This window comes from Homo sapiens, chromosome 12 (assembly GCF_000001405.40).
Source record: "Homo sapiens chromosome 12, GRCh38.p14 Primary Assembly".
Lineage (NCBI taxonomy): Eukaryota > Metazoa > Chordata > Mammalia > Primates > Hominidae > Homo > Homo sapiens.
In genome coordinates this window covers 3229442-3256941 of record NC_000012.12, presented here as the reverse complement: position 1 = coordinate 3256941, position 27500 = coordinate 3229442, and the positions used below count along the sequence as shown (strand labels likewise).

At 53.2% G+C, this 27500-nt stretch overlaps 1 protein-coding gene and 1 long non-coding RNA gene across 10 annotated transcripts in view, besides 6 other annotated features; one reads left to right on the top strand and one right to left on the bottom strand.

Annotated features, from left to right (window-relative positions):
* Positions 1–27500, bottom strand: part of TSPAN9 (tetraspanin 9) — a 209181-nt gene that overhangs the window by 29618 nt on the left and 152063 nt on the right. The window lies entirely within an intron of this gene.
* Positions 13304–13804: an enhancer, noted in NCBI's record as "H3K4me1 hESC enhancer chr12:3352304-3352804 (GRCh37/hg19 assembly coordinates)". NCBI's record gives its function as "activates a minimal SCP1, AML or CMV promoter by ChIP-STARR-seq in naive H9 embryonic stem cells {active_cell/tissue: H9 hESC(naive)}" and the evidence as "EXISTENCE:reporter gene assay evidence [ECO:0000049][PMID:30033119]".
* Positions 13894–14779: an enhancer, noted in NCBI's record as "H3K4me1 hESC enhancer chr12:3351329-3352214 (GRCh37/hg19 assembly coordinates)". NCBI's record gives its function as "activates a minimal SCP1, AML or CMV promoter by ChIP-STARR-seq in primed H9 embryonic stem cells {active_cell/tissue: H9 hESC(primed)}" and the evidence as "EXISTENCE:reporter gene assay evidence [ECO:0000049][PMID:30033119]".
* Positions 14480–14684: a silencer, noted in NCBI's record as "fragment chr12:3351424-3351628 (GRCh37/hg19 assembly coordinates)". NCBI's record gives its function as "represses an EF-1alpha promoter that drives an FKBP-Casp9 reporter gene in an ReSE screen in K562 erythroleukemia cells {active_cell/tissue: K562}" and the evidence as "EXISTENCE:reporter gene assay evidence [ECO:0000049][PMID:32094911]".
* Positions 20180–20861: an enhancer, noted in NCBI's record as "H3K27ac-H3K4me1 hESC enhancer chr12:3345247-3345928 (GRCh37/hg19 assembly coordinates)". NCBI's record gives its function as "activates a minimal SCP1, AML or CMV promoter by ChIP-STARR-seq in primed H9 embryonic stem cells {active_cell/tissue: H9 hESC(primed)}" and the evidence as "EXISTENCE:reporter gene assay evidence [ECO:0000049][PMID:30033119]".
* Positions 20862–21543: an enhancer, noted in NCBI's record as "H3K4me1 hESC enhancer chr12:3344565-3345246 (GRCh37/hg19 assembly coordinates)". NCBI's record gives its function as "activates a minimal SCP1, AML or CMV promoter by ChIP-STARR-seq in naive H9 embryonic stem cells {active_cell/tissue: H9 hESC(naive)}" and the evidence as "EXISTENCE:reporter gene assay evidence [ECO:0000049][PMID:30033119]".
* Positions 24683–25681: an enhancer, noted in NCBI's record as "H3K4me1 hESC enhancer chr12:3340427-3341425 (GRCh37/hg19 assembly coordinates)". NCBI's record gives its function as "activates a minimal SCP1, AML or CMV promoter by ChIP-STARR-seq in naive H9 embryonic stem cells {active_cell/tissue: H9 hESC(naive)}" and the evidence as "EXISTENCE:reporter gene assay evidence [ECO:0000049][PMID:30033119]".
* Positions 24864–26966, top strand: LOC124902861 (uncharacterized). Its single transcript, XR_007063161.1, has 3 exons — positions 24864–24985; positions 25469–25603; positions 26625–26966. It is a non-coding gene; the product is annotated as an uncharacterized LOC124902861 (long non-coding RNA).

The following is a 27500-nucleotide window of genomic DNA, read 5'->3' as shown; positions in this document are numbered from 1 at the left end:
CTACTCCCCAGGGCGAAGAAGCTGATTTCTTCATTTACTACAGGACTATCCCAGGACAGTCCTCCCCAGGGAATGGACTCGTCAGAGAGATGGCCATATGGGAGAGTCGCCGTGTATTTCAGGAGCCAACCCACGCTTGGATGGACCCTCTTGAAGTCCAGCTCCATGATGGCTCCTGCTGTCTTGTAGGCAATGCGAAATAGTCGTGACTTTGGGGTTTTCTGTAGTCCCCCGAAAGAGTTAACCCAGCTACCAAAGTCAAGATCAGGGGCGCCGCTGGGGAGCTTATCTGACCTCCTGAAGAGATTAGCACCCAGCTCAAGAAATGCCAATCAGCCAACAAGGCCGAATTTAACCTCATCCGGCCCTCCCAGCCCTAGCCGGGCCGCTCCCGAAATCGACGATTACGCTAGAGGCAGCTCTCGCTACAGCCCGTCATCCGCTATTTATAACCCACTCGCCTTCTGGGGGGAACCAGACACCTCCCACCCCAATGTGGTGCCCGGCGCCAGGCCTGTGGCCTTGGCCTCAGGGCCTCCGTCATGCTGGCTGCGACTGCCGGACCCCTGCGGCAAGTGCCTTCCCTGGTCCTAAGTGGCTCTGTCCTGTCATCTCTGATGAGTTGAGTGCTGCGCTCAGCGGGGCCCGGCCTTTCCAGGGCAGCTCCTTACGAAGCCCCCAGGACTGCTATCGGACGTGGTTTGGCTCCTGCAGCCTCTCTCACCAGCTCACCACTGGGCCTCGGGACCCCGCCCCCACAGCTCTCCTCCCTCTTTCTCATTCTTTCATCACCTCTCTGGCTCCTGACAACCCAACAGTCTGAAGAAAGGCCAAAGCAGCAAAGGGGTGGGAGTGGGGTATTTATGGCAATGGGGGACCGGCCTAGATCTGGGTGCAGGAGGTACCTCCACCTACTGCAAGAGGCGGGTGACCAGCTAACAGCCCTGCCTGAAAGACATAGCAGGCAAGAGAAGGGTTGCTTTCAACTCAAGAAAACTCACAAGCATACATCCTGATTACTGGGACCTCCCACACCAGAGGTACAAAGGGGTGTCCAGCTTGTTGCCACACGATCTACGTCTCTACCAAATCATGCTCTCATCTCTGTACGGATGAGAATGCTAACAATTTCCAACAAAGCCAAACCCTCATGGGTTCATTTATTTGTCTACACAAAGGCTTTGCCTAGAGCATGTCTGTTTGAAAGATACTCACCATATTCTAAGGGTAACCTAAAAGAAAAAGCGTCTATGGCTTCTGGGTTACTGAGCTAGACACCCCAGTTCTTTCTAAAAACCAATTACCCTATGACACCAAACAAGAAAGAAATCCCATTGGTGCTTCCATGGAATTGACACAGGCCCCCGTGCCGTCCTCCCCACACCAGCTTACAAAGGCCATGTGCCTTTGGGGTGGCACAGGGACAATCTCAGGAATATGGTGGCAAAGGGCTGAGTGGGGAGAAAGTGCTGGAGAAAAGTTTAATAATAGAGCTGGGTTGGGCTCGGCCCGTTTCCTTTTTCAGTTGCCCTGATCGCTGCTCCCATTACGTGATGTGGCCGTGGGCAGAGCCAGTCAGCTGCTGGGGAGATTCAAACCCAGGTCAGCCTGGGGGCCATGTCTCCTCAGGCCACCTCTGCGAAGGGTCCACATGCCACAGTCAGATGAGGTCCATGCACAGCTCACCCGGGCTCGCCTAACACAGCCTCTCTATAAAAAGCCCGGAGCTGGCGGGACAGACAGAGTCAGGCCGGAAGGCCCAAGGTTGACTGTCCCTGCACCCATCAGCCCTCCTGCTCAGCTGCGTGCCTTGCTACTCATTGTCTCTCCTGATTGTGCATTGCTATTTTGGGCTCTGGGGGACAAAGGGGAGCTGAAGACTGCAGCAGGAAGCTCACAGGGTGGGGAGATTGGCGTCAAAGCCAATCTCTTGGCGACAGGGCAGCTGCTGCCCTCCTTCCAGCCTCTCCCCTGTCCCCTGGAAACCGACAAATACAAGTCACTCAACAGTCAACACACATGTGTGCATGATGCATCCACCCCATGCAGTGGTCACAAACCGTAGACAGAAATGTCCACATGAAAATACGTGGTGCATGCTGGACATCATTCATGGATCATTAATGGAAACTGACTTGGAATCAATATTATAAGGACAGCACTGGGGAAGGCATACTCATAAACAGAGCCCTTGACGACCCACAGTTCATGTGCAAACCATTTTCTATATATGTTAAGCGGGTTTACTAAGAGTATGCCCTTCAAGGTCACCAGAAAGCAAAAATAAGTTAATACACAAAAAGCACTTGAAGCAGTGCCTGGTGCCTGGTGAACGTTCTACAGGGCTGGATACTGCTGTCATCATCATCATCAGAACGGACAAGACAGAACCCAGGAGTCATCCATTTTAGCTGTCACTTTGGTGAAGAAATGTCCAGCATGTAGCTGGAAACCTGGATCGGGCACAAGGTTGGTGTAGAAGGTGCCCACAGGCCTGACCCAGGGGAAGGGGCAAGGCTGGGCACTCGCGTCCATTTTCTGTTGACTTGTGGGCAGTTCTCCCTCGCTTCTCACCTCTAGAATGAAGAGACTCCCTCAGCATTGAGGGGGTGGGGCAGGGGCCAGGGATGAGGGCAAGGAAGAGAGCGTCTGAGCATTGAAAAGGTCAGAAAAGAAGCTGGAGTCCTGAAGGTAGTAAGCACCTGACCCCAATAAAACAAAGCAGGGCCTCACAGAGGCATGGGCCCCTGCCCAGCCTGTGCTGCAGGAGTGACTACTGTCAGCACCATTTACAGAACCAGCCTGTGCTCCAGGCTCGGGGCTGGGTGCTCCGGATGCATCATTACATTTCACTTCACACCAGTCACAGGAGGTGGTGTTGATAACCAAGACTCAGCAGGAGGGCCAGGACTTGTTCCCAGCCCCATTTGACGCTATCATCCTTATCCCTCCACTCCCCTGCTGGGCATCAGAATCACCTGAGCATTTTCACAGGCTCCACCCTGGACCTCCTGTTGCACGAGAGTCTGCAGGGCTGCAGCCACGCACCTGGGGTTCTGGGGCTTCCAAACATCCACAGGTGCTGCTGATGCCTGGCCAGGAGGGCACACCACCAGGCCCACGCACAGCAGACAGAACATTCCCAGGGACACACTGCCCACATTCCCTCCAGAACAAACACCCTGTCACCACCACCACCAGCCTCCCACCCTCAATAAAAGGGGTCCAAGGGCAGTCGCCAGATCCCAATTCCCACCTGTCACCCTGTGGACCTTTAATGAAGATTGCCATTTCTACCCGAGTGGACCTGGGCTGATCGCTGGCCTGTGCTCTCTGAGCTTCATCATCGCAGGGACTGTCTACAAGGATGTTCTGCAAACCCCATGGCACTGGCCGAGCTCAGCGAACACTTCCTGCGGCAGACACCCTTCCTTTCCACCAACTATCTCACTGCATCCTCACCACAACCTATGAGGAGGTGGGTGCCACTGTCACCCCCATTCACAGATGAGAAACGAGGCCCAGAGAGGTCAAGGAACTTACCAGGGTGAGAGCTAGGCAGGTCAAAGCCAGAATCCAAAATCTTAAGCACCAGGCTCCACTGCATCCTTCATGAGTGATTGTTATTACTTTGTTCACTGAGCCGGCAGGCAGCCTCCTAAGCAATTTAATGATCTTTACTGCATTTTTCCTATCGTCTTTTTATTTGGTTTTCTTAGGAACGCGGGCCTGCTTAGGGCAGGCTTGGGCTGGTGGGAGAGAGAGACTGTAATACATGAAGCAGTACGACAGGCTCTGTAGCCATCCCAGAACGTGTTGATCACCACCCCCGAGGACACAGGAGCACTTCTGAGAGGTGGGTCAGATCCACATGAGCCCCTGCTTTCCAGGTGGGAGAGAGTAAACAGGGCGGTGCAGTGGCTCACTCGGACACGCCACGCAGCAGTTCAGTGGGAGGGCATGACAACCAGGCCTCCAAATGTGAGTTTAGGGCCTGCTGTGCAATCGTGAAAACCTTCTTCCAGACTGCCCTGAAATAGCCCCATTTCCCACCTTCTGCACCCCCTCCCCCTAACAGATGTCCACCGGCCCTCAAGGGAGAAAGTGACACGCCCCCAGCAGCCCGCTCACTCAGCCCTGCAAAGGAAGGGTCCTCAGCTTAGCCTGAGAGGCACCTCTTTCTGTTCCCTTCAGTTTAAAATAGGCCACACGGATGCCTGCCAAGATCCCATGCTCTTGGCTAACAGGAGGGTTATATTTCTGGCTGCGCACCGTGAAACATTGGACCAGGGAAGGCTTCCCAAACCAACAGCTGACTCCGGCTGTGATGACAAGAGGATCTTGCAAGAGTCGGCCCAGGCCCAGCTAGCGGCAGGCTCCCCGCATGTGTACAGTAGGAGGGGGCTCCGTCCCCACCCCCGGAGCTCTGGGAGTGCAGGGACGGCTATATAAGGGCATGGGGCTGGGGGGAGCCCAGGGGCTGGGATTTCTCCCTGGCCCCGGAGAGAGCACCCGCTCACACAGGCCTGTGCACACACCTGCCACGGATGAACATTCCTGCGTGCCATTCCCTGGCCTGGAATGGGCTTCCCCATCTCGCTGCCATCACCATACCCTCTAAACGCCATTCCAGTCTCACCTGCTCCACGAAGCCTGGCCAGAGGCTACACCTCTCCCTGGCCACACCAGCACCAGGGAGTGTGGAAATCATATTCCCCACAGGAACTGGGTAGGAACTAGAGGCGTCTGGTCTTAGAGAACTTGAGGGACACGGCAACTCTGAACATGGAGGTATGCAGAGTTTTAAGTGCGGGGGGCGCTCCATGGTTCATGGGGTCTGCCCCATGAGACTCTAGTGGGGCAGAACAGGGACCAGGTGCTAGAAGCTACAAAGTAAAAAACGACCCCTCACCCTCACTCACGCAGGGACCCAGAGCTGGCCGATGTGGTGGCTTAACCATGAGGTCCCCACCATGAGAAGTCTGGGTGGAAGCCCAGTGGCCCCCTGCCAGGACTCTGCTTCAGGCAGGGGCTGTCATGTGAGCTGTTGGTCCCAGCCCCTTCTGGCTCCGTATTTCTCCACTACACTAGGGGCTCCCTGGGAGCCGGGTCCCCTTTCCAGCATAACACTCCTATCCCAGCTCTGAGCTCAAGCCGGTGCCGACAGGCTGCCCATTCCTCCAGGGGCTGACAGCTGGTGCCAACAGTCAGAGGAAGGAGGCCCAGGCAGCCAGAGGTGCTGGAACCCACCGTCCTGTGTGTCCCTCTGTCCCTTAAAACTAAAGATGTCCTTTGCAACAAAAGAACCTCTTCCCACACATACAGCCCTAGAAATTCACCAGAAGCAGAACGGTGGTTATCTCTAGATGATGGCATTGTGAATGACTTTAATTTATGCTATTTTCATATATCTCTATTATTTCCAGTACTCTCCAGTGACTATACTAGTTTTATAATCAGAAATCAACTTTTGAAAAAAGAACTTTTGAAAAAAGAACTTCCTTCTCCCCTCTCAGACATGACCATCATTAGTCGAGATCTGCCACTCAGAGTCCCCAACCCTACCCCTCCTCCTCCCCACACCCCCAGCACCCTTCCACCAGGGAGGATGCCACCAATGCGAGGGGATTTCATCACCGGGGCAGCTCACTGCTGGGGCCTGTGAACAGCCTGCGGCACACAGCGGGTGCAAGCTGAATGCTTAGTCATGGAGGAGGTCTCTGCTGGGGCTCTACATGCCACCAAGTCTCCCCAGCCATCTCCAAAGACAGCCTTTGATCTTGAAAATGTCCACAACTTCTAAGTAGCCCACAGTGCCACAAAGTCACCAACTGAAATCCTTCAGACACTAACCTGGGGAGAGGGTAGTACTAGATCATGCCTCTGACTGAGATAACTCCCAAAACACAGGGGTAGGGGGAGGAAGAAGAAGATAAAGATGAGGAAGAAAGGCAGAAGCGGGAGGAGGCAGAAAGGAGAAGAGAGAGTGCATGGAACAGAGCCCAGTGCCATCCCCATATGCCACCCTGTCACCCCGGTCCAACCTCAGTCCCTCTCAGGGCCCGAGGCCCTTCCTCAGGGCAGGCTGCTGTGCCCATCATGGCCATTCACCGGGCTGCTCCCCGGGCCTGGCAGCCAACAGTCACCCGAAAGCCAAGCTCTGCATACCTCTGGCGCTCCGTCACAGGACCAGGAAAGGGTTCTGGTGTCATGGACACTGCACCCTGAGCCAGCCAACCTGAGATGGGTGATATCTGTGGCTGCTGAGAAGCTGGCCTCAGCATGGGCTGGCCAGGCCTGGGAGTGGGAGAAGGACAGGGCGTCTTGGGCTACCTGTGCAATGAGAAGGTCTTCCTGTGTGTGGAGCTGTGGGCAGGTCTAGAGGAAAGGGAATAATGGCCCTGCCCTCAGGGCACCCCACTCTTCTGGGGAGACTCATTCTCACACATGAAATACACCAGACACCCAAGAGGCATGTGAAAAAGTGAGACATGATGGGTGAACCCTAAAAAGGCATGAACTCCATTCTGGAAAAACAGGGCTGATGGGGTTGGATCAGAGTCTGCAAAATCATGAAGGACAGTGAAGAGGGCCAACACAGACCTGCCTAACAGATCCTGAAATAGAACCCCAGGCAACCCTTGAAGCTCGAAAGCATTATCTGAGGACAAATAAAGGGCGTCTGAGCTTTACGCAATGGGTAAAGGCAAGGGGCTCGTTACCATGCAGGGTGGCACAGGATAAAAACATGGCTAAGATCCAGAGGACTTTGATAAACTCACCAGGGAGAGAGACACAAGGGCCATGACAGGAAACAGGGGCACTGGACGCTTCTGACCTTCAAAGACAGCCCTGGAGGAAACATCCCACCCCACCCACCATCCATGCCCGATGGGTGGACTGCTGACCCAGCATGGGTAGTCCTAATTTATTCAAAGAAATGGAGGAAAGTTTAATTTCTTTGAAATAAAATCCTTTAATTTTAAGGGATTTAAAATGAAATCCTTTAAGCCAGCACTGCCCTTGTGCATGGTGAGACGACAAGGGGCAATCAACCCCACTCATCAACAAGGTGCAGCATTGCAGGAGGAAAACATGCGGGATTTGGAGTCTGACATCCAGAGTTCAAATCCTGGCTCCATCATTCACTCAGAGGCTTTGAACAAATCACATAATCTCTCTAGGCCTGTTCCCTCATTCATAAAACAAAGGTAAGGATGTCTGCCCTGGAGGGATGATGTGGAGATGAAACCAAACATATGTGAAGCCCTAAGACAGCACCTGCTATATGGAGGTGCTCGGAGAGCAGCCCTAACCACAGTCCATTCCGACCTTGTGGACAAGTCAGACATGGGCTCGGCCCTCAGGAACGTCGGGCATGGGCACAGACGACCAAGGTACGAGTGAAAAGCACGAAGGATTGTAGGAGGGAGGCAAAGCCAAGAGGAATTCAGAGGTTCTGCCTTGAGGAGAGAGCAAAGTTTTCATGGAAGAAGCAACGTTTGAGACAGAAACTTTAAGGAAAAGGGGGAGGGCTGGTAATGAGCACGGGTAATTGATCTGGAGAGAATGGTGGGCAGGAAGGAAAGCAGGAGCCATGCGGGCAGGAAGTGGGACAGGAAGTGACACTTCCTGGGAGGCTCCATGTGTGACTGGTTGGAACAGAGAGCAGTGAGGTCTGACCACCCGCGGGGTGCCTGGAGTCATTGAGAAAGACTCGCAGCTGGAGGGTCCAGGTGACAAGATGGAGGAACATGAATTCTACCGGCTTCTGTGGTGGGGCCTTGTGCAGAAGCAGAGAGAGGGCTGTTAACATGGCTAAGGCCCTGGGAAGCAGACTCTGGCAGGCCTGTATCGAATGAACTAAGAGGAACTAGGGACAGGGAGATCAGGGAACAACCGAGTGACTGGGCAAAGTGAGGCCTGGCCTAGGGGCATGGCAGTAAAAATGCACAGGAACGGGTGGGACGGACAGGAGGGGCCTCAGGGAGGCGGCATGGGTACGGAGGGGGGCAGACAGAGGTTTCCAGCCTGGGAGCTGGGCAGGTGGTGGGATCCATTACCGAACCAGAGGACCAAGGAGGACTTTTGAAGCAAGAAGTTGAAACAAGTTTGAAAGACCAGTGGAAGATGTTTATGGAGACACCAGATGTAGCTGGAAACGTGGTGAGGGAGGGTCCGTTCTGGGCTCAGCCACACACTGTGTGACCTCAAAGTCAAATTCTTTTGGGGAGCAGGGGGCATAACCAAACTGTGGCTTTAATCATTCTGTGCCTCAATTTTATCCTCCAAAAAAAAAAAATATGATCTATTCCACCTCCCAGGCTCACTGTAAGGAATGAGTGTAATGGACGTAAAAATGCTCTGTAAACTACAAAGGCACTTAATGTAAGAAGTTATTATCAGAATCCATAGCTGAAACCAAGAGGCTGGGCAGGTTTGTCAAGGAAAGAGAGAAGAACAAGAGAGGGCAGGAGATCAGGAGTGTAATGTTCAGGAACATTAAGTCCAGGGCAAGAAGGCAGAAGGAAACTAAGAGAGCACACATTTTCATAAAGAAACAGCAGCAGCCCCAAGAAAGGGCTACACCCCAGTGGTCCTCTGCAGCCCTCACAAACTCTATCCCATGTCTATCCCACAAGGAATGACACCTCCAATCTGTTCAGAAAAGGCAGGACAATTTCAAAGCTAAATAAGTAGAGAGTGTGCCTAGGGGGGCCACAGCACCTTGAAGGAAGTCTGGAAAGTACCTAGGGAGTATGAGTGTCATGTGAGGGCAATCTCATCAAAATCCCCAGGGGACAGACATTGCCAGGAAAGAGGCATTCAGGGAGCCATTAGCTCCCTGATTAAAATGAAGTGGCTGTTGCTCTAATCCGGAGAGGTTGAGCACATCTCTGGGAAAGGGGCAAGCAGACAGTCAGTCTGTCATTTGATTAAGATGCAGTCTTCTAATCCATCATCCTCCATGCCCCGCTGCGCTTCCCCACTGGCATGCACACACAGAAGGTACATGCTGCCCTGTTCTAGCAACAGAAGCGACAGGCAAGGGGTCAGCATTTCTGCAGGATGGTGGGGGAGCTCCTCCTCTCAATAGTGAGTCTGGGAGCCCAGCAGTGGGAAACAAATAGCCCAGGGGGATGTTGACAGGGAAACCACAAGCACAGCCTGTGCAGCGAACTGGCATCAACAGATCCATGGAGAGGAGGCTGGGCTAGACACCAGCATGGAGGAGGCTGACCGAGATTTGAACCGCCCAGCCTATTCTCAAAACCAGATGGCCAACGTCAAAAGGAGATGACAATGGACGTGAAGTTAGACTGGCTCACAGGCAAAGTCACACCTACTCAGTGGGTACTCCCTACGGGTACTCTGTAGACTGGAAAACTCCATTTCTCTTAAGGTGTCTTCCCTCGCCCATGTCTGTCTCCGAAGAGGATTTGAGACCCTGCAAGTCTTTCTGAACTGACGCTCTCTCGGCACTCCTGTGGTTTCTCCTGCCCTGAAGACTTAGAGTCAAAGGCAGAAAGGACCCCCAGACATCTTTAGGTCCCATCTCCTGCCCCAAGCTGGCTTACACTCCAACCATCTGGCGACTGGCACTCACTCTACTTGGGGACGCGGGTGGCGGGGGGGGGGGGGCTGGCCAGTAATGCTCATCAGCCACAAGCAGCTGTCACCGCAGCTCCTCTCTCTGACTCTGCCTTTAGTAAGTTTCATGGGCCTTTGTCAAGTCCTTTCTGCTATAACCTTAACTGCTCAGGGCCAGGCCTAGGACATGCTCACAGTCATTCCCAAGACACCTTCTTAATAAACCCGACGATGCTCGACACAGTGAACGTGTCCTGGGTGCCTTCCATGTGTGCACAGTACGTTGCTCCTCTTCTCTGCCCTGAAAAACAGGCACCCTCCCTTCCACCCATTCTCCCAGGCTGTGCTCTTTTCAGACCACCCATCCTCCCAGCGGCCAAAAGCACATTGCAGAAAATCTATCCTGGAACCTGCCCCACTTCACCCAGGACGCCACTATCCCCTGAACGGTCCTGGTCTTGTTCCCTCTGCCCCAGGAAGCAAGTGAGGCTACAAAGCAGAGATGTCTTCCCCCCTGGTCCTAGGGCAGTTCCTCTGAGCCACCTGGATGGCAGGCTGGTGGGATGGTGGGGCGGTATTCAGAGAGCGGAGCTGGGGAAGATACCAGATGGATCTGAACAGCCACAAACTCAAGTTTTGCTCTGCCCTACCCCAAAAGGGGCTATTATTAGGCCCAGGAATGGGAGTGTCATGGTCAGGAGGGATGTAGGCACACTGACCCAGAGAACACGGGTTTGGAACAATTGGGCTACTGTTCCCTGGCACTGAGGGAGGAATGGGCTCGGAATCCCAAACTTCTCAAGTGGGAAATTTTGCCAGATGTCCATCTGCCTCTTTCCCTGCCCAGGGAAAGAGGATGCATCCTCAGGAAGGAAACAGTGTTCAGGGCCTTCTGCCAAGGCAGCCAAAGTTCTCCTGACCTCAGCGAAGGCTGCAGAGCTCTCAAAGAGTGGGGTGGGGAGCTGGAGCTGGGAAAAGGTGGGGAAGAGGGTGATAGAGTTTGGATATTGGTCCCCACCAATTCATATTGAATTGTAACCCCCAATGCTGGAAGTGGGGAGGCGACTAGATCATGGGGTAGCACCATCCCCTTGATGCTGTCCTCACAGTCGTGAGTTCTCACAAGACTGGGTCGTTTGAAAGTGTGTGGCACCACCCCCCGCCCCGCAATCTCACCCGCTCCTGCTTTTGTCATGTTTAGTGCCTGTTCCCCTTCATCTTCCACCATGACTGAAAGCTCTCTGAGGCCTCAGCAGAAGCCAAGCAGATGCCGGCACCATGCTTCCTGTACAGCCTACAGAAACATGAGCCAATTAAACCTCTTTTCTTTATAAATCACCCAGTCTCAGGTTATTTATTTATAGCAATGCAAGAATAGCCCAATATAGAGGGAGATACTGAAGAATCTTTGCTGGGCAGATTTGGGCATTCTCTTGCCCACCCCACCTTCCTCTCTGCGCCACAGTCAGAAGGCAAGGCGGGCTGGGCAGGAGAATGCCCAAATCCGCCCAGCAAAGACTCTCCAGTACAAGGAATTGGAGACCTCCACCAGTTACCAAAAATGCAGATAAGATACAGCATCCATGCTGACGATGGCTCCGTGCCACGGGCCGGTCTGCCCACCACACCCAGGTGCTGTGAGCAAAGCGTGTTGGGGGTTGGGAGATGCAGCCAAATGCCTCCACCACCCCCTCTTATGACTGTTTTGGTGGCTCTGATTCTTCCGATATACTGCAAGGAGGCCAGGCAGAGAGGACACGGGGCAGGCAGGCTTCTCCCTCCTCAGTTTACAGGTGGCCCAGGCCCAAGGAGATGTTCCGAGGTCATATGGCAAATCAAGGGGAAACTTTGCCCCCGCCTCACTCCCTTCCCCTGGGCTGCCAACTCAACTTGCTTCCCTCCTTTGCAGCACACAAAAGGGGGCTGAGAAAAAGAACACTGAAAACCATTTCTCTCCCTCGGCAAGAGTCAGCCTTCCCTTTCCATGGTCAGGGTGGAGACCCAGGAGTGGTTCCAGGGTCATCCTTCCTGCATCCCCTGGGCACCACCCCTGGCCAAGGCCCGAGAGCCAGAAATGGGCTTGGCACCTTCCAGGGCTGCTCCACCGGCTGGCAGGTGCAAGAAACGTGCTTTGGTCCAGGCACCTGCTCACTCGCTTGGATGGTCTGGTCAGAGCAGTGCCGAGTTCCAGAACCAGGCGCTGCCAGAGAGAAGCAGAGGGAATGCACCTGCCTGGGCTGGAGAGGAGTGTGGCTGTACCTGGGGACGTGGTGGTCTGTCTTCCTCTCTTCTTCCCAGGAGCACTTAGCACCTAGATAGGCTGGGCTGCTACAGAGTCCTTGGAAAGACCGGGATGCCCACAGAGTCAAGAGGCTAACGCACAGAGTGAGAGAGAGAGGTTGGCAGAAGGGGGCCCCTGAAACTACCACAGCACAATACTGGATGCTGAGAGATGAGGCTGTGTCCACTGCCCCAGGAGGAGCAGGGGAGGAAGAGCCTCAGCAGGGAAAACCCTCGAGGCTCCCGACTCCACCGAACCTGGCTGGGGCAGGCAAGCCTAGTGAACCACACACCCTCCCTTCTCTACTGCTGAGCTCTGGCCCCCACAAACCCTCTCCCCATTACCCGGGTCTCACACCGTGACTAAAGAGACCATCTACCACATGGTCCCCTTTAGGGGGGTGGCTGGGGGATCGCCATCTGGTGGGACCTGCTGCTACTGGCGCTCGCTGTCTGCCTGCAGCGCGTGGTCCGGTGGGGCGTGAGGTGGCTCGAGAGTGCGTTCTCCTAAAGCAGACCTCGCCAGGCCATTCTTCAGAGGCCCCAGCCCACGTCACCAGCTGCCTCTGCCCCCATCTGCGCACCTCACGCCATCTGCAGGGGGCTGGGACCTGGCTCCAGGGCTGCGGCTGGCAGAGAATAAGGACATGGCCTCCTTCCGGCTGGGGTGGAGCGGGAGTAGGTGGGGCTTCCACACACCTCACCCCGAGATGTCCACAGGCCTTGAGGGAGTGGCTGAAGGGCTTTGGAGGTCCAGAAAAAGAAGGGAAGTGCAGGGGGAGGATAAGGCCAGCCAAGACCCGCTTACCTACTGGGACCAGGGCCCATGTGGCTGGCAGTCTCTTGGGGAGGGGACAAGAGTCTGGGTCAAGAAGGCTGCGTCACAGACATAGACACCTCCCTGCCTCCAAGAAGACTGTTGGGGTCAAAAACAGCATCGCTTAAGCACCCATCACCCTGGAGTCCACTGTGGGGGACAAAGTGCTCCCAGACAGGCCCTGCTCCTAAAGCTTACACCCAGCAGTCCCAACGGGCAAGCTGAAAGGGCAGCCTTGGCCCAGGTGCCAGGCACCAGAGAACTTATGACTGACTGCCAAGACCCTGCGGGTAAGCCCTGGTTCCCAGGAATGCAGAACTAAAGGGCATGTGGAGGCAGCAGAACCCCAGGATGACTGCAGGGGGTAGTACAATAAGAGAAGTCTTCTCAGAGGTGGCGGCCTTGAGGTCAGTCACCTCTCGCTCCCCTGCTGCCTAGAGCAGCTGGCCTGGGCTCTCCACCTGCCTGACACCCCATATCAGAGGAGACAGAAAATCAATGGGGCCTACATGGCCCTCCTCAGCCAGCCTGGGCAAGACCAGACCACGGGCGTCAACCCCTACGCTGTCACCCTCCCTGAAGAGGAAGCCAGGGAGGGTGACAGCAGGAGGGCCGATGCCTGGCTGCTTCTCCACCTCATCGGTCCCCACGACTGAAGCTTCCTGTGCCGTGATCTGGCTGTGCCCTAAGCTGCTTAGCCAACAGCCCTATCTCCTGGGCTCAGGGCTTAGCCCTGTGGGGATGAGGGGATCGGTGCAGCCTGATGGGAAGAGTGAGGGGCTTGAGTCAGACAGAGCTGGTGCACCACAAACTGCCGTGAAACCAGAGCAAATTACTTAACTTCTCTGAGCCGCCCTATGTGCAAAACATAAGTTAAAACAGGAGCCCCTGCCTCCTGGGGCTGCGGCAGGAATTCAATGAGGTGGTAAAGCACCCAGCTCCGTGCCCGGCCCATGAGAAACACTCCACATACAGTGGCTGCGATGGTGATGGTGGAAAGATGATGGGTGAGTCCAGCAGACAACGAGATGGGGAACTCAACCACGGACAGTAACTCGGGTACAGGGAAGGCGGTAGAAAAGCTCAAGGGAAACCAAGGCATCCTATGATGCTTGCAGGGATGACTCTATTGGGTTGTTTTCTACATTGGATTTTAAGGTCCATTGATGGCATCTTCCCTGCTCCTTCATCCCTCCAAATGTACCATCCACACCCCAACTTTCTCAGGCTGATTCAGAGACTGGTTAGGAGACCTGGAGACCCAGTTCTCCCACAGAGCTCCCGTCTGGATGCCCTGCCACAGGGTCCCTCTATGACAGGCCCACACATCACTTCTGCACAGCAGGGAACACGTGTGAGGTGTGGTGCAGCCACCAGAGGGAAACACGATGCCTGGCAGTCAGCACAACTCAAAATCCTGGGAGGAAAGAAACCAGAATAGACATGAGTCCTTGGGAGATCAGCAGGTGGCTAGGCCCTGAGAGGGGGCAATGCGTCCAAGGCTCCACAATATGTTCAGGGCAGAGCTGGGGCTCCCCACTGTGGCAGCTGCCCCTCCAGCTGAGGCCTGAGTCACGCCCGGTGACCGCTGGAGCCCCTTGCTTGTCCATTACATCCTCCACACGCAGCCCTGAGCTGTCAGCTGGGCTCCGCAGAGGATAGCAGGGACAGTCCCCATCCTCGGGGAGCTGGCAGGCAAAGGGGAAAGAAACACCTGGCCACCAGGGGACCCAGTTTCTACTCTGGGCTCTGTTCAGAACTCACTGTGGGAGCTTGGACTGGCCGTGTCACATGTCCAGGCTATTGCTCTTCATCTACAGAATGGGAGCTGTGCTTGCTGTTGGCTAGAGGTGGGAGGTGGGGCTGGCTGGGTGGCATCCCAGGGCTCCAGGCATCGGGCAGAAGGCATGTCCAGGGCCTGGGCCACACCCACACCAGCCTAGAGCAGGGCGGGTGGCAGAGCCACTCCCAGGCTGCTGGCAAGGGCCTCCTTGCCCTGAAGCAGCTCAACCCCATCCCAACCCAGCTCATGACTTTGAAAGAGCAGCTTCTAGATGCTTGGACCAACTACACACACAGGCTTCTCCCTGCTGGGAACAAAGTTAAGAATAATGTCACCCCCAGGGGTCCAAGGAAGCCCTAACCGGGAGACCCCTGATGCTGGCCTCAGGAACATTAGAGGTGGCAGGGTGGGCGGGGAGCAAGAATGTTCTCTCCCCCGATTCGCTGACCCCACTCAGAGGAAAAGGAAGAATTCTCGGTCTTTGGGAGAACTAGTGGACTTCTCTTTCTCTAGGGCGAGTGGCCCCCTGTGTGCTGGAGCCCCAACTCCGAAGCAGCTGCATGGCAGAGACGGTGGGGAGGGGGCAGGGGAGAGGACTTTGCCCTCCACTGATCTTCGGCCAGGACACGGCCCCAGTGAGCAGCATTCCATTCTATACTGAGCCCAGTGACACACACCGGAGCCCAGGCTCGCTGTGCCCAGCCGCCTCCCCAGCCCCACTGGGCACACTGGCAAGGCCGGGACCTCCACCCAAGGTCAGCGCCTGTCACGGCTCAGAGCCCACACCCACCATGCTGACCATGACTGGGATAAGGGCACTCACGGAATGTCGGGGAAGAAACGAGCCCAGAAGGAAAGTGCTTGTTTAAAATTATGCAGGCTGTTTCTCCAGGGCCACTTAGTTTGATCACTCTTTACTGATGTCCTTCTGGTCATATGAAGTTGTATTTGTAGACATATATGTTTTTAAAAATTAGGAGCATACCATATACCATTTTTCCTCACCTAAAATTATATTGACACATGTATGACTGTGTTTTTCAAAACTCAGCTGTACACCAAAAAGAGCAAACTTTACAGTATGTATGTTCATAATATATAATTAGACATCTATAATACATAGTATATAAATGCCACGCCACAGTGTGAACACTTTCCCCCTATCATTTAATCGTTCCCCAAACTCATTTATCCACACACATATCATACTTTACTTAGCCATTCTCCCTAATGTGGGACACCTAAATTGCTTTTAATTGTCCTTTATTATAAATTCTTCCTTAATGAGCACCCTAACACATAAAATCTTTGACAGCATTTCTGATTGTTTTCTTAGAATGGAGTCTTAGAGCTGCAGTTACGGGCCAGAGGATGAGCCTGTTTTCAAGGCTCTTGGAACCCTCTGCAAAGTGATTTTCCTCAAAGGTTTTAACACCTTACACCCAACCAGTGCTGTAGTAGAAAGCTCCATCATATTAGCAATTATCCGTTTAAAAATCCATGCACATGTGAAAGGCAAGAAAATAGCATACTATTGTTGGCATAATTTGGATTTCTTTGATTACTAGTGATATTCCCCATTCTGTCATGTTTACTGATCGCTACTATTTTTTTTATACAGACCTAATTACAGCAACAGCCAGCAAGCCACAACTCTCCAACGTCCACGCCATCTCAGTGCTATTGTTGTAATATATAAAATCTACATTAAATCACAGAAGTTCATATTATGCTCGTATTTAACACCACAGTGCAGCAGAGACAGGCTGGTGTAGTGTAAGGATCATAGATTTGAAGCCAGACAGCCCTGGGTTTAAACACCTACTCCCTCAAGTGCCAGCTGTGTCTTAACACCCCCAGAGGTAGTATAGCGACAGACAAGACCAGGACTTTGGAGTCCTGAGACCCGGATTCAGATCCTGGCCTCCTCACTGCCCAGCTGTGTGAGCTCGAGCACGTCACCAGACCCTTCTGAGCCCACCATTCTTAACTGTGCTGAGGAATGAGTACCTGAAGTGTGTGAAGTACCCAGTGCAATGTCCCACCCGTAGCAAGCACTCAATCAGCGAGAGTGACTGCTGGCCCCCTTGGCTGAGCACGCCTCAAGGACCATCCACGATGCTCCCGGGCTGCTCCCCCACCTGGCCTCACACTCTCCCACCTCGTCCACACAACTCTCTCTCTCCCCGTAGCCTGCAGCGGGGCCTCTGGACTCCAAACGCACCCCTCAAGGAGCTGGAAAAGTAGCTGTGGGTAAAATGACAGGATGTCTGGGACCTGCTTTAAAATACTCGAGGAGGAAAACAGGGGGTGAAAGTAGAGGAAATAAAGGAATGGAAGGTTGTGGAGGCCGGGTGAGGGTTACGCAAGGGTTCTCTACATTATGTGCTTTATTTTTGTGAATGTTTAAGATTTTCCACAATAAAAAGCTAAAAGGAAAAAAAAAGGGAGTAATAGGGACAGGAGGACTAAATAAGGTCATTCGTTACACCTGGCCCTTCTTTGTCAGGCCTCTCCTCTGCACCTCTGGTCGTGGCAATGCCCTCCCTCGTCCCCCCCCTATATAGTCAGTGTTTTTTTGGCTTTATTCCCTTTCAAAATTTCCACATCCCCAGCTGTTTTCCTCCCCTGCACTCAGCTCCTTCCTTATTCCCCATCAAGGAATCCCTTTTCCACCCTTCCCCATCAGGACCCTGTCGGAAGCTCCAATGACCCTCCCAGAAGGATAAGTCCAGGAGGGCAGACCAGGAACCAGCACTCCTGGGTTTCCACCCCAGCAATGCCACTGTCTGTGCTGACCTATGCAAGTAACCTCTACCCAGTTCAGACCAAATGAAAGCTCAGCAGACCCGGCAAAGAGACTTTCTACTTCTAAAAGGCAAAAAATGAGCTCCTCTCTCTCTGACCTCGTTTGCTGGGATCCAACTCGGGCAGTGGAGCGGGGAAGGTGGCGGCTGCCTGGCAGACACTGCTCGCCCATGGAGGTCTTGAGGAAATGGGAATACAGGCACCATCATGATCATGTTAATGAGGGTAAAAGTTAAGACCAAGAGGGGAAAGAAGGTGCTGCCCTCTGTGTAGGTGTGGGTGTGCCAGCGTGTGCTTTTCAGATGACAGGCTTGAGTCAGGGAGGCAGCATTCACGGGCAGGCCTGGCTCAGAGAGGGGCCAAGTCCCAGCCAAGCAGGCTCCTGCCCAGCGTTCCCAGCAAGAACGTGACAACAGAGAACAGAGCCCCACCACTCACTACCCACCAGGCACCCCTCTACGCCTTGCCTCTCTCCCTCTTTTTCACTACCCACCAGGCACCCCTCTACGCCTTGCCTCTCTCCCTCTTTTTCACAAGGGAGGAATGTGCACTTGCTCTCTTCCTCCCAGGATGATGAAGTCAGGCCTGGAAAACAGAAGGCATGATCAGGGGATGAATCAGGGCACCCTCAGGTCTAACGCCATGCTGGGTGCCAGTGGGAACTCACCTACCCCTCTCTGGGCTGAGATGGCGGCCACCCGACCCTCCTTTGGGAGGGCCTGCATGTTCTCAGGGAAACCAGAGAGAACATGAAGCAAGGAAACAGCTTGGGAATGAAGGTGTTACACACACAAAGGGCGGCCCCACCACCCACCTACGTATGCTGCATGCCCATGGGTGAGAGGCCCAGTTCAACAGACGCCAAGCACTAAACGGTGCATCTGCTGCTGCTGTCAGATGGCCTCTGCTGACTTTCCCAGTGCACCTTCCTGCTGCCCCAGTAGGGACCAGGGTTTAAAGAGAGAATCTTTACCCCGTTTTTTGAGTGGAGAAATGAAGGCATGAGTCTTTCTCCTCGAACAGGGAATAAAGGATAGCTGGCTTTGGAATCTAAACCCAACAAGCCCCAACTCTCAGCCAGGGCCGTTCCCGTGAGGCATGGAAGGGTCGGCGATGTTTTCTGGGTAACAGGACCATGTAGGGTTTGGTATTCCTAGCTAGCAAAGGAGAAGGAGCCGGACCTAATAAACTCAATGACATTCACGAAGGGCATCGTGGGAAGAAATAAAAGCCACAAACCACAATTCAGCACAAAGCTGGCCCCTGGCAGCTGCGGACTGTGCTCAGGACACATGTCCCCAGGGTGGGGCAGGAGAAGACTTTGAGAGATGCACAGGGAGGGCGCCTGTCATGCCAGCCAGGTCAAAGTTGCTCAGCAGAGTGGGAACAGCAGAGGACACAGATGCAGAAGCAGGGTTCAAGGCTCAGCTCGGTGGCTGTTAACCATGAGCCTTGGGCAGATCACGTGGTGTCTCTGACCCTCGGTACTGTTACCTGTAGAATGGGGATAATGCATCTTCTCTACCAGAGAGAGAGAAGGGCTTTGTAAACAGCATGGGAAAATGAGGGAATAGTCTCGTCCTTCTCTTGAGGATGACTGGGGAGGGAAGAGGAGGGAAGGAAGAGGAGAGGAAGGTAGAGAAGGATCCACAATGAGGCTGGATTTTGAAACCCAACCTGCTGGCTTTATAACCAAGCTTTCCATCATCACGGGAAACTCAACCTGCAGCAAATGTATGCTGAGTTCATAAACATGATTAAGAAGGTTGTTTGCAAAATTCACACCAGGGAAATGAGCTGCAGATGGTGGTGGCAATGCCCTTTCGCAGCAGGCAGCAGCTGGCTGTGTGGACTCAGGGACAGCTGGAGGGAGCTAATGCCCACCTCTGGCTTCGGAAGGGAAGGGGGCAAGCTGACCCTGCCCTCTCTGTGCCTGGGGAGGGGGAGACTTGCAGAAAGCTGAAACCCTACATCATAAAACTGCCATTTGTTCTGGAGAGATCAATCAGGTTTTCGATTCCAGCCCAACCGGGAGGGCAGGCCAAGCTCAGAGAAAGAAGAGTGGGCTAAGAGCACTGCCCCTTCCACGGCAGCCTGCCTCGGGTGGGACAGGGCTGCAGAGGCTCTGGCTGTCCACTGGAGTGTCCTTGGTGAGGGAGGAGGGAAGGAATTTGGCAAAGCCAACTTGAGGTCTCTCCCGGCCAGAGGGACACTCTGTTCTGTGGCCAAGAGGTAGCCCTGGTATAAGGAGAATAGGTGGGAAATACAGGGACCAGAACGGCCTCACAGAATGCTTTGCAGGTCACATTTCACGTAGGTGGGCACCAGCCTGTCTTTGATCGTAAGTCATCAGGAGGCAAGCCCATCAGGAGGCAAGCCCAGGAATATCTGTGTGATGGGCTTCCTATAGAGCCGCTGACACAGGAGACTTTAAAAATGTGACAAAGGGGATGACATCGATCAGGATAATACAATGACCCCGTGGCCCAAATTTGGGATGAGCCTTCTCTTTTGATGTATCTCACAGCCCCTCCTCTCTCCTGGACACATTCTACCCATGCTTCAGCTGCCGCCCCACCTACTCCAGGAGGCCCTCCCTGATGAGTCATTCAAAGCAATGGCCCCTCCCACAAATCCTCACACCGCACTGCTCACTGCCTTGGCTGCTGCTCGCAGTCATTTCACATGTGTGCTCGTTTCTATCTGACAACCAGGTGCTCCCTAAGGGCAGGGCCACATCTGTATGACATTGCTCAAATGTGCCCTACAGTACTAGGAACCCAGAGGGTGCCCAGTGATGACAGGATCTGAGCCTGCAGAGCTTTTCATGAACTTGCAGAATGAGCTATATCCCTGTACGTCACTACCCACCCTCTCCCTCCTGCTGAACCTGGAGAAGAGTCATGAGCCTGCTACCAAAAATACCCCACCGCCTGGACTCTCAGATGATTCCCCTACAAAGGCTGGGAAGCACAGACCCAGGCTTACTCGTCTCTTCTCTACCCCCGCCTCCATTTTTTCCAGTCCCCAGAAAGCCGCAGTCTCTCAGCAAATTCCACGGGCTGGGTGAGACTCAGATCCGGCCAACAGCATGCCGGGCGTTCTTTACATATCATCTTATCTACTGGAGGAAGCATCCTGGTGGCAGCGAAGGGCACGGGCCTCAGAGGCAGGCAGCTGAAGTGAACAGGCTCTGCAACCTACCAGCTGTACAGCCCAGGGCAAGTTACCTAACCTCTCTGAGCTCCAGCTGCCTCATCTGTAAAAGGGCATAACACCTTCCTCTCAGGTTTGCTGTGGAAATCATGCCTGTAAAGTGTTTACCAAGTGTTTGTCACTCCCAGAAAGTACTAGATAAATGGTAATTAACATTAAATTATTGCACCATTCCCTCAAGGTAGAGATTATTGTCTTCTCTCCACCAGTGAGGAAGATGACGCTCAGAGACATTAAGCAACTGGCTCAGAGTCACAGAGCTGCTGCTCAGGAGGCAGAGCAGGGGGTTCAAACCAAGGCCTTCTGACTTCAGGTGCACTGTTCTTCTCCAAACACCACAGGCTTGCAGAGGACGCTAAAGGAACAGAAACAACAGCAGAGCCTGCCCCTAGCCCTGCGGAAGTTTGCAGCCTCAAGTCACAGGGACAGAGCTGTGGAACCCTGAATCAGGATCCCTCATGCCGCCCCAGCGGCAGCAGGTCCAGGGGAATCCTGGAACATGAGCCATGGCTTCAGCAAGTCCTCATTTGAGAAGATTGGCTGGACTCCCCCAAATTAAGTGCTGTTGCAGGCAAGCTAGGCCAAAGCCCCCAGAGCTAATCATATTGGCACCTGCTGTCCCCCCACACAGGCAAACTGGGAAGGTGCCACTGGCTGGAGTCAGCCCTCAGCCCTCACACAGTCCAGCTCACAGGGAAAGCACCAAACTGGCTGCAGGACAAGCCCAGTTCACAGAGGCACCGCCTTCCCCATCTGAAATAACCAGCCATCATCAGAGGGTGGGAGACAGGATGCAGTCGACACCTTCCAAATTCAAACCTACTCAGTGAGGGAATCACACACGCATTCGTCACACACAGTCTTGTTGATCCATGTAGCCCCTGGTGACATTAGACAAGGACTCAAGGGAAGTGGGAACTTTCACAAACATGATCTCCTCTGATCCTCTCAACCACCCTGGGGCATATGTACTTTTGCCCCATTTTACAGATAAGGAAGCTGAGAAGACATTGGGCAGTTTTTCCAATGTCACCCAAAAAGTAAGGAAAATGCTAGCGTGCGAACCCCATGGCTCCAGGCTTCCGGCCAGGCTTCTTGCCACTACAGCACGCTGTTGGTCTGTGCTCTCGTTCACTCATTGCCGCTTCACTCCACTCATTCCTTCATTCACTTACATATATATATATATATATATATATATATATATATATATATATATATATATATATTTTTTTTTTTTTTTTTTTTTTTTTTTTTTTTTTTTGAGACGGAGTCTCGCTCTGTCGCACAGGCTGGAGTGCAGTGGCGCAAGCTCTGCTCACTGCAAGCTCCGCTCACTGCAAGCTCCATCTCCGGGGCTCACGTCATTCTCCCGCCTCAGCCTCCCGAGTAGCTGGGACTACAGGCGCCCACCACCACGCCCGGCTAATTTTTTTTTTTGTATTTTTTTAGTAGAGATGGGGTTTCACCGTGTTAGCCAGGATGGTCTCGATCTCCTGACCTCGTAATCCACCCACCTTGGCCTCCCAAAGTGCTGGGATGACAGGCGTAAGCCACCACGCCCGGCCTCACTTACCTATATTTTTTTCCTAAACAGCGACAACTCAGGACCCTCTGGGTTGTTTACTACTGCCTTCTGCTGCCTGAGAAAACCTGGGATACTGAGATGATATTTTTCTTCTTTCCTGTAGAGTTGCTAGGATTCAGCCCTTCTCCAAGCCCTGCCATCAGCAGCTGATCCTGGAATGAGTGCTGAGAGCAGCACAGACCACTCCACGCTTCCACTCTGACTGCAGGCCTGGCCTAGAATGTGCCCCTCACTGCACAGTGCACCTGAAAGCCTTTTTCAAAACAGGTGTCTCAGCCTCCCAGAAATACAGCTCTTGGGATGTTACTTTTGGAGGTAAGGAACGGGAAAGATGATAAAGTAGCCTGTCACCCAGTTTGCAGGCAGGTCAATCAATGCTTGCATTTAATGAGTACCTACTACTATGTCAGTGCTGCAGGGTGGCCGGAGCAGAGGGAGGGGGTCATGAAAGAGTAAGAAACAAAGGCCCTGCCCTCAAGGCCATAGTCTCAACTACAACATAGCTGTTAAGTGCACCTGAGAAATTCAGAGGAAGGTAAGACGCCTGCATGTGAGGACAAAAAGATTTCATTCAGACCATGGAATTTCAACTAGACAATCAAAGGATGGCCAGGATTTAAATCTGGGATGGTGTAGAAGAAAACTGCCCAAACCACCTTCTCAACAGCATGGCCAATGTGAAAGTCTGCCTTGATTCTTCCTTCCCTGATCTTGGCTAAATATTTCATCTTTTTTATAGGCACTTGGCAGAGGTTCCAGGATGGGAAAGCAGGGCAGTAAATTAGATCTTCGAGGACGTCTCAGCCCTACACACCCACGTTTACACAAGCTCCATTCATCCCCGCTCTGTGTAAAGTAACTCTGCTATTCTCTGCAGCCTGTGGGGGCTCCGAGATGGGAGTGCTGGAAGGAACCTGGCTCTTGCTACTCAGCTTGGGAAATATTCCCTGCAGAGACCTGGCTGCTACTCAGGCTAGGACAGACACACCTCTATAGCCCACAACCCCTGCCAACAGGACTGCTCTTTTCTTTGAGATCTGATGCATTTCTCAAAAGAGGAAAACTCCTTGCCCCGTGATGCAGGATTTCACCAGTGTATGCCATAGAGGAACTATTATTCATGTGCATGAAAGAAATGTACACAGTCAAAGATGCTCACAGCAGCTTTGCTCGTGACAGCAAAAAACTGGTAACAATGAACACACAATGAAATATTAAAAAGCAGGGAAAATGAATGAACTACAAGTACAAACATTACATGGATGAATCTTAGAAACACAATATTTAGTAGAAGCAATGCAAGCTACAGAAAGCTACATGTAGCACAATACCATTTTACACAGCTCAGAAGCACATGCAACTATAGAATGCATCGTTTAGGGAAACATCTGAGGGGCAACATTACATAAAAAGGCAAAAGGCTGATAAAAATGCCCTCAGGAGAAGGGTGCCCTCCGCCAGGGGATGGGACAGGGACGGAGCAGGGCTAGAGGTGATGTGTTGTGACAATCCACATTCAGCTAGGTGGTGGATTCCACAGTGTTTCTTACAACTTTGTAACTTACATGTATTCTTTTGTATTTATCAAATACCACTTAATAATTTTACATGCTTGTAACCTTACTAATTTACATAATCCTGGAAGCTTGAGAATTCAAGCTTTGGTAGCTTCAAGCTGAAGCTACCAAAAGAGACAGAAAGGAATGAGACGACAGGTGGCCCTGGAGGGAAAAAATCGGTTTGACCTAGCCAGCAAAGTCTCAAGTTCTCTGTCCCCATTCCTGGGTGGCTTTCCTCCCCACACCTGTGATCAGCAAAGGCACCTGAAAAGCCTGAGAAGGAATAGAGAGTATGTAGACAGAGGTGACAAGACTGGACAGGTGGGACAGCTGTCCTCCTGTGAGAAGGCCAGACCCCAAGTAGGGAAAGGAAAATCTTTCTGTGTGGCTCTGAAAAACAGATCCAGGCCCAGCAAGAAAACTTCCTATGGCTAAAACTTCCCCAAATGGAGTGAGCAGCCTCTGGAGGCAGGGAACGTACACCTGCAGGTGCCCACTGAGAGTGGCTGGAGCTGCGCTTCCTGTGTCTGAGGAACGGGAGAGCCAGGGCTGCGCCAGACCCATGCACCAAATCCCACTCCAAGGACAGGGAGGGCTGGATGCGCCAGCATCACTGGGGGACCTTGTTAAACAAACAGCCCAGTCTCCACTCCTGACCAACAAACTCAGTCGCTAGAGGTAGGAACTGCAAGTCTATAGTTCTGCAACCTTCCCAGGTGATTCCGATGCAAAGCTGGCCTCAAAACCACCCGATTTAATGTCCTCTAAGTTTTCTTTTAGTTCAAAGTTCCATGGACCAATTGCAGGGAGCAGAAGGCAGGAGACGGAAAGCATCAGGGCAGGGGATGGGCTTTTGGTCCTCAGTTACCCTGATGATCCCACCCAAATCCTTCTTGCTGTGTCCATATCCCTCCCTCTGACTCCTCCTTATCTCTTAGTGGGGTAAAAAATTAAACTGGTTTCATATCCTCTGGTTATTGGAAGCATTCTTAAAAATAAACATATCTCACTGTAGGAAAAAAAAAAAACATAACAGAAGCCAGCGATCAAGAGAGGAGATATTTTTAAGAGAAAACTATACACATTTCTCAGGATTTACCATATAGGAGGAACGGGTACTTGGTCATAAGGGCACCTTGGTAGCTGGGAATTCTATGCCCACTTAAATTCCAAAGTTTGCCATCCTCAGGCCCATAAGAATCATACCAAAAAGAAAAATCCAGGACTGCAGTTCCTAACCAGACAGAAGGGACCTCTGGAAGAGGCCCGTGGTGAAGGCCCTACAGACTCTTAATCCCTCCAAGGGCACAAATAACCGTACTGCTGCAATCAGGATAAGCAGGGTACTTCCAGGGAGAGGGGAGACGCTGCCCTGGCCTGAGACAGCCCCACTGAGAGCCAGGCCCAGGCACAGGGAGCTCAGAGCGTCAGGAGCAAGGTGGCCAGCTCTGCTGGCTGGGCATGCACGCGACAGCGGGTGAAAAGGCAGAGGTGGGAGGAATCCTGGAGGCCAGACAGCCCCCAAAGTGAAAGGCCCTGCCCAGAGCCAACAAGTAACCCGAGCCGGGAGATCATCTGAAGGCGCCGCCCGCCCACAACCTGGAGCGAACCCCATCCAGGCTCCAAAGCGAACATCTGTTGCCCTGGCATGGGGACTGGCCAATTCCATGTGAATTTCCACCCACCCCGCCCCTGCTGGCTCAGTCCTCTGCCCCTTGAGGTTGACCTCTTTAGGGTGGGCTGGCATGGGGCATGGGATGGTCAGGCTGGGATGGCTGGATCTGACTAGCTCCCTCTCAGTCTCTGCCGACGGCATCTCTCCGTAGTGACGCGGGGCTGATGCAGGACTGTTCGGGCTGGGGCCAGGTCCAGCCTGGAGTGCTGTCTTCGCTGACTCCCCATCTCAGAGCATGTTTGATGTCTTCAGTGGTGACAGCAGGACCAGAATTTTCTGCCTAGAGGTATCCTAGGGCTCAAGTGAACTGACAGGAATTCTGAGGCCCAAAAAGGGGCAGTGCCTGGCCCAAGGTCACAGAGTTAGGGAACTTGGGACTGCCCCGCTTCCCTTCATTCTCCCCTGCCTCTCTCATTTCTGCACCTGCTGTTCTGTTGCTTTCTGCGGCGATAAGAGACTCCACAGGGTAGAAAGAAAGAATGTATGGCATTCTCTGGCGAGAAATTAAAATTATTTTTAAAAAACCACAATCCTTACACACCCAGGCAAGCACTCTCTCGACTAAGCACCGTTCCCAATTAAAGGCATCCTTCACTTCCCAGGCAGAAGGTTTATGTAGGTCACGCTGGGCCCTTTATAGCATACACCCCCGCCCCCAGCTCCCAACCCTATCTCCGCACCTCCAGGCAGGAAGGTACGCACTGAGATCCTACTGAATGGGGGCCTCCAGATGGGGATCAAGGAGGCCCCAGGGAGTCCTGCAGGGGTCTCCAGGGGGGCCGAGGACAGGTGAGCCTTCCAACAACTTGATATCTCCTCGGGGGAACTGAGGATCGGAGCAGGGGCTGCATGTGGATGAGAACGGGGGTGTGCTGCCGATGGAAGGAGATAACTGAGGGCAGCTGGTGGGACAGGCCGGCATGGACTCTTACCCCTCAGTTCCCAGAGCAGTGTGGGGAAAACCCCTGGGTATGAGGCAGGGTCTCCAGGGGCTGAGGAAACCTTGCCACCCCCACTTTAGAAGACCACACTCCGAAGTGTTGAAGAGCGCTCCGTGGGCACCTACGCTTGCAGAAGCAAATGACTTACTGTTTTCTAGGGACGTTCAGTTCCAGGACATGAAAGAAAAGTCCCTATGGGCGCCACCCTACAATAGAAAACACTACCTTCTTGGTGGTGGGGTGAAGGCAGGCAGGGAAAAAGGAGACGGTGAGATGCAGGCAGGGGAGTCAGGCTCACAAGGGAGGGGGAAGCCTGGCTGTGAGACTATGCCTCAGGAAGACCTGTCTTTTCATCCACTCTTCCAGCTGAACACCAGGAAGTCCTGGAAACTAAACTTGGGTCCTGCTGACCTTCAAAAGCATTCATCCTCCTGGACAACGTGTGATGCCTATAACCGGCACCGGCCTTCCAAGCATCTCCACCCAGAGTCCCCCATAGGCTCTGGGCAATCCTGGGGAGAGACCAGTGATGGGGACGCCTCCATAGAGTGATGCAGGACACAACCAGCTAGTAGGTTTTCTGCTTCGTGGAGAGAAGTCCCAGACAGATGATGGGAGGAGAAGAAAGGAAGGGGGAATAAACAAAGAAAAAGAAAAGTATCTACACACTGCTCCGTTGTGCTCTTGTCTCTTGATGGGGACCCAGCCCTGGATTCTCTCCAACCCAGGGCTTAAGAGGCAAATGTATCCAGCCCAGGGGAGCCAGGTCGGACTCTGGCTTCCCACACAGCAGCAGGGTCCCTGAGATGTCTATGCAACGGAAGCTGGTGCAACCATGCCTGCCTGCCAGAGAGAAGGCTGCTGGGCAGAGAGATGGCTGGAAGGGGCTTCATTTGCATTCAGCCCCAGCTGTGTCAGCCCCAGCTGTGCCTGGCAGGTGCGATGAACCGCTGCAGGCCTTCTTCCTCTCACTCTGGGTTCAGCAAAACCCAGCAGGAAGATGGCACACAGCCCTATCTTTGAGGCATCCTCTACCCCCAGCCAGCCCTGAATCTAGGGCCTTCAGTTTGGCCACAGCCCTCAAATACACGGATAGGTCCTGGTGAAAGCTACTTGCCAGTAAGCCCCAGACAGGGATGCTGCAGAAGGCGGCCAGGCCAGAGGCAAGGGGAAAGCCTCTGATCCTGGGACGACAAGGGAGAGAGAATACATGGGATTTGCTGGGAGCAAGATAATTAGGAA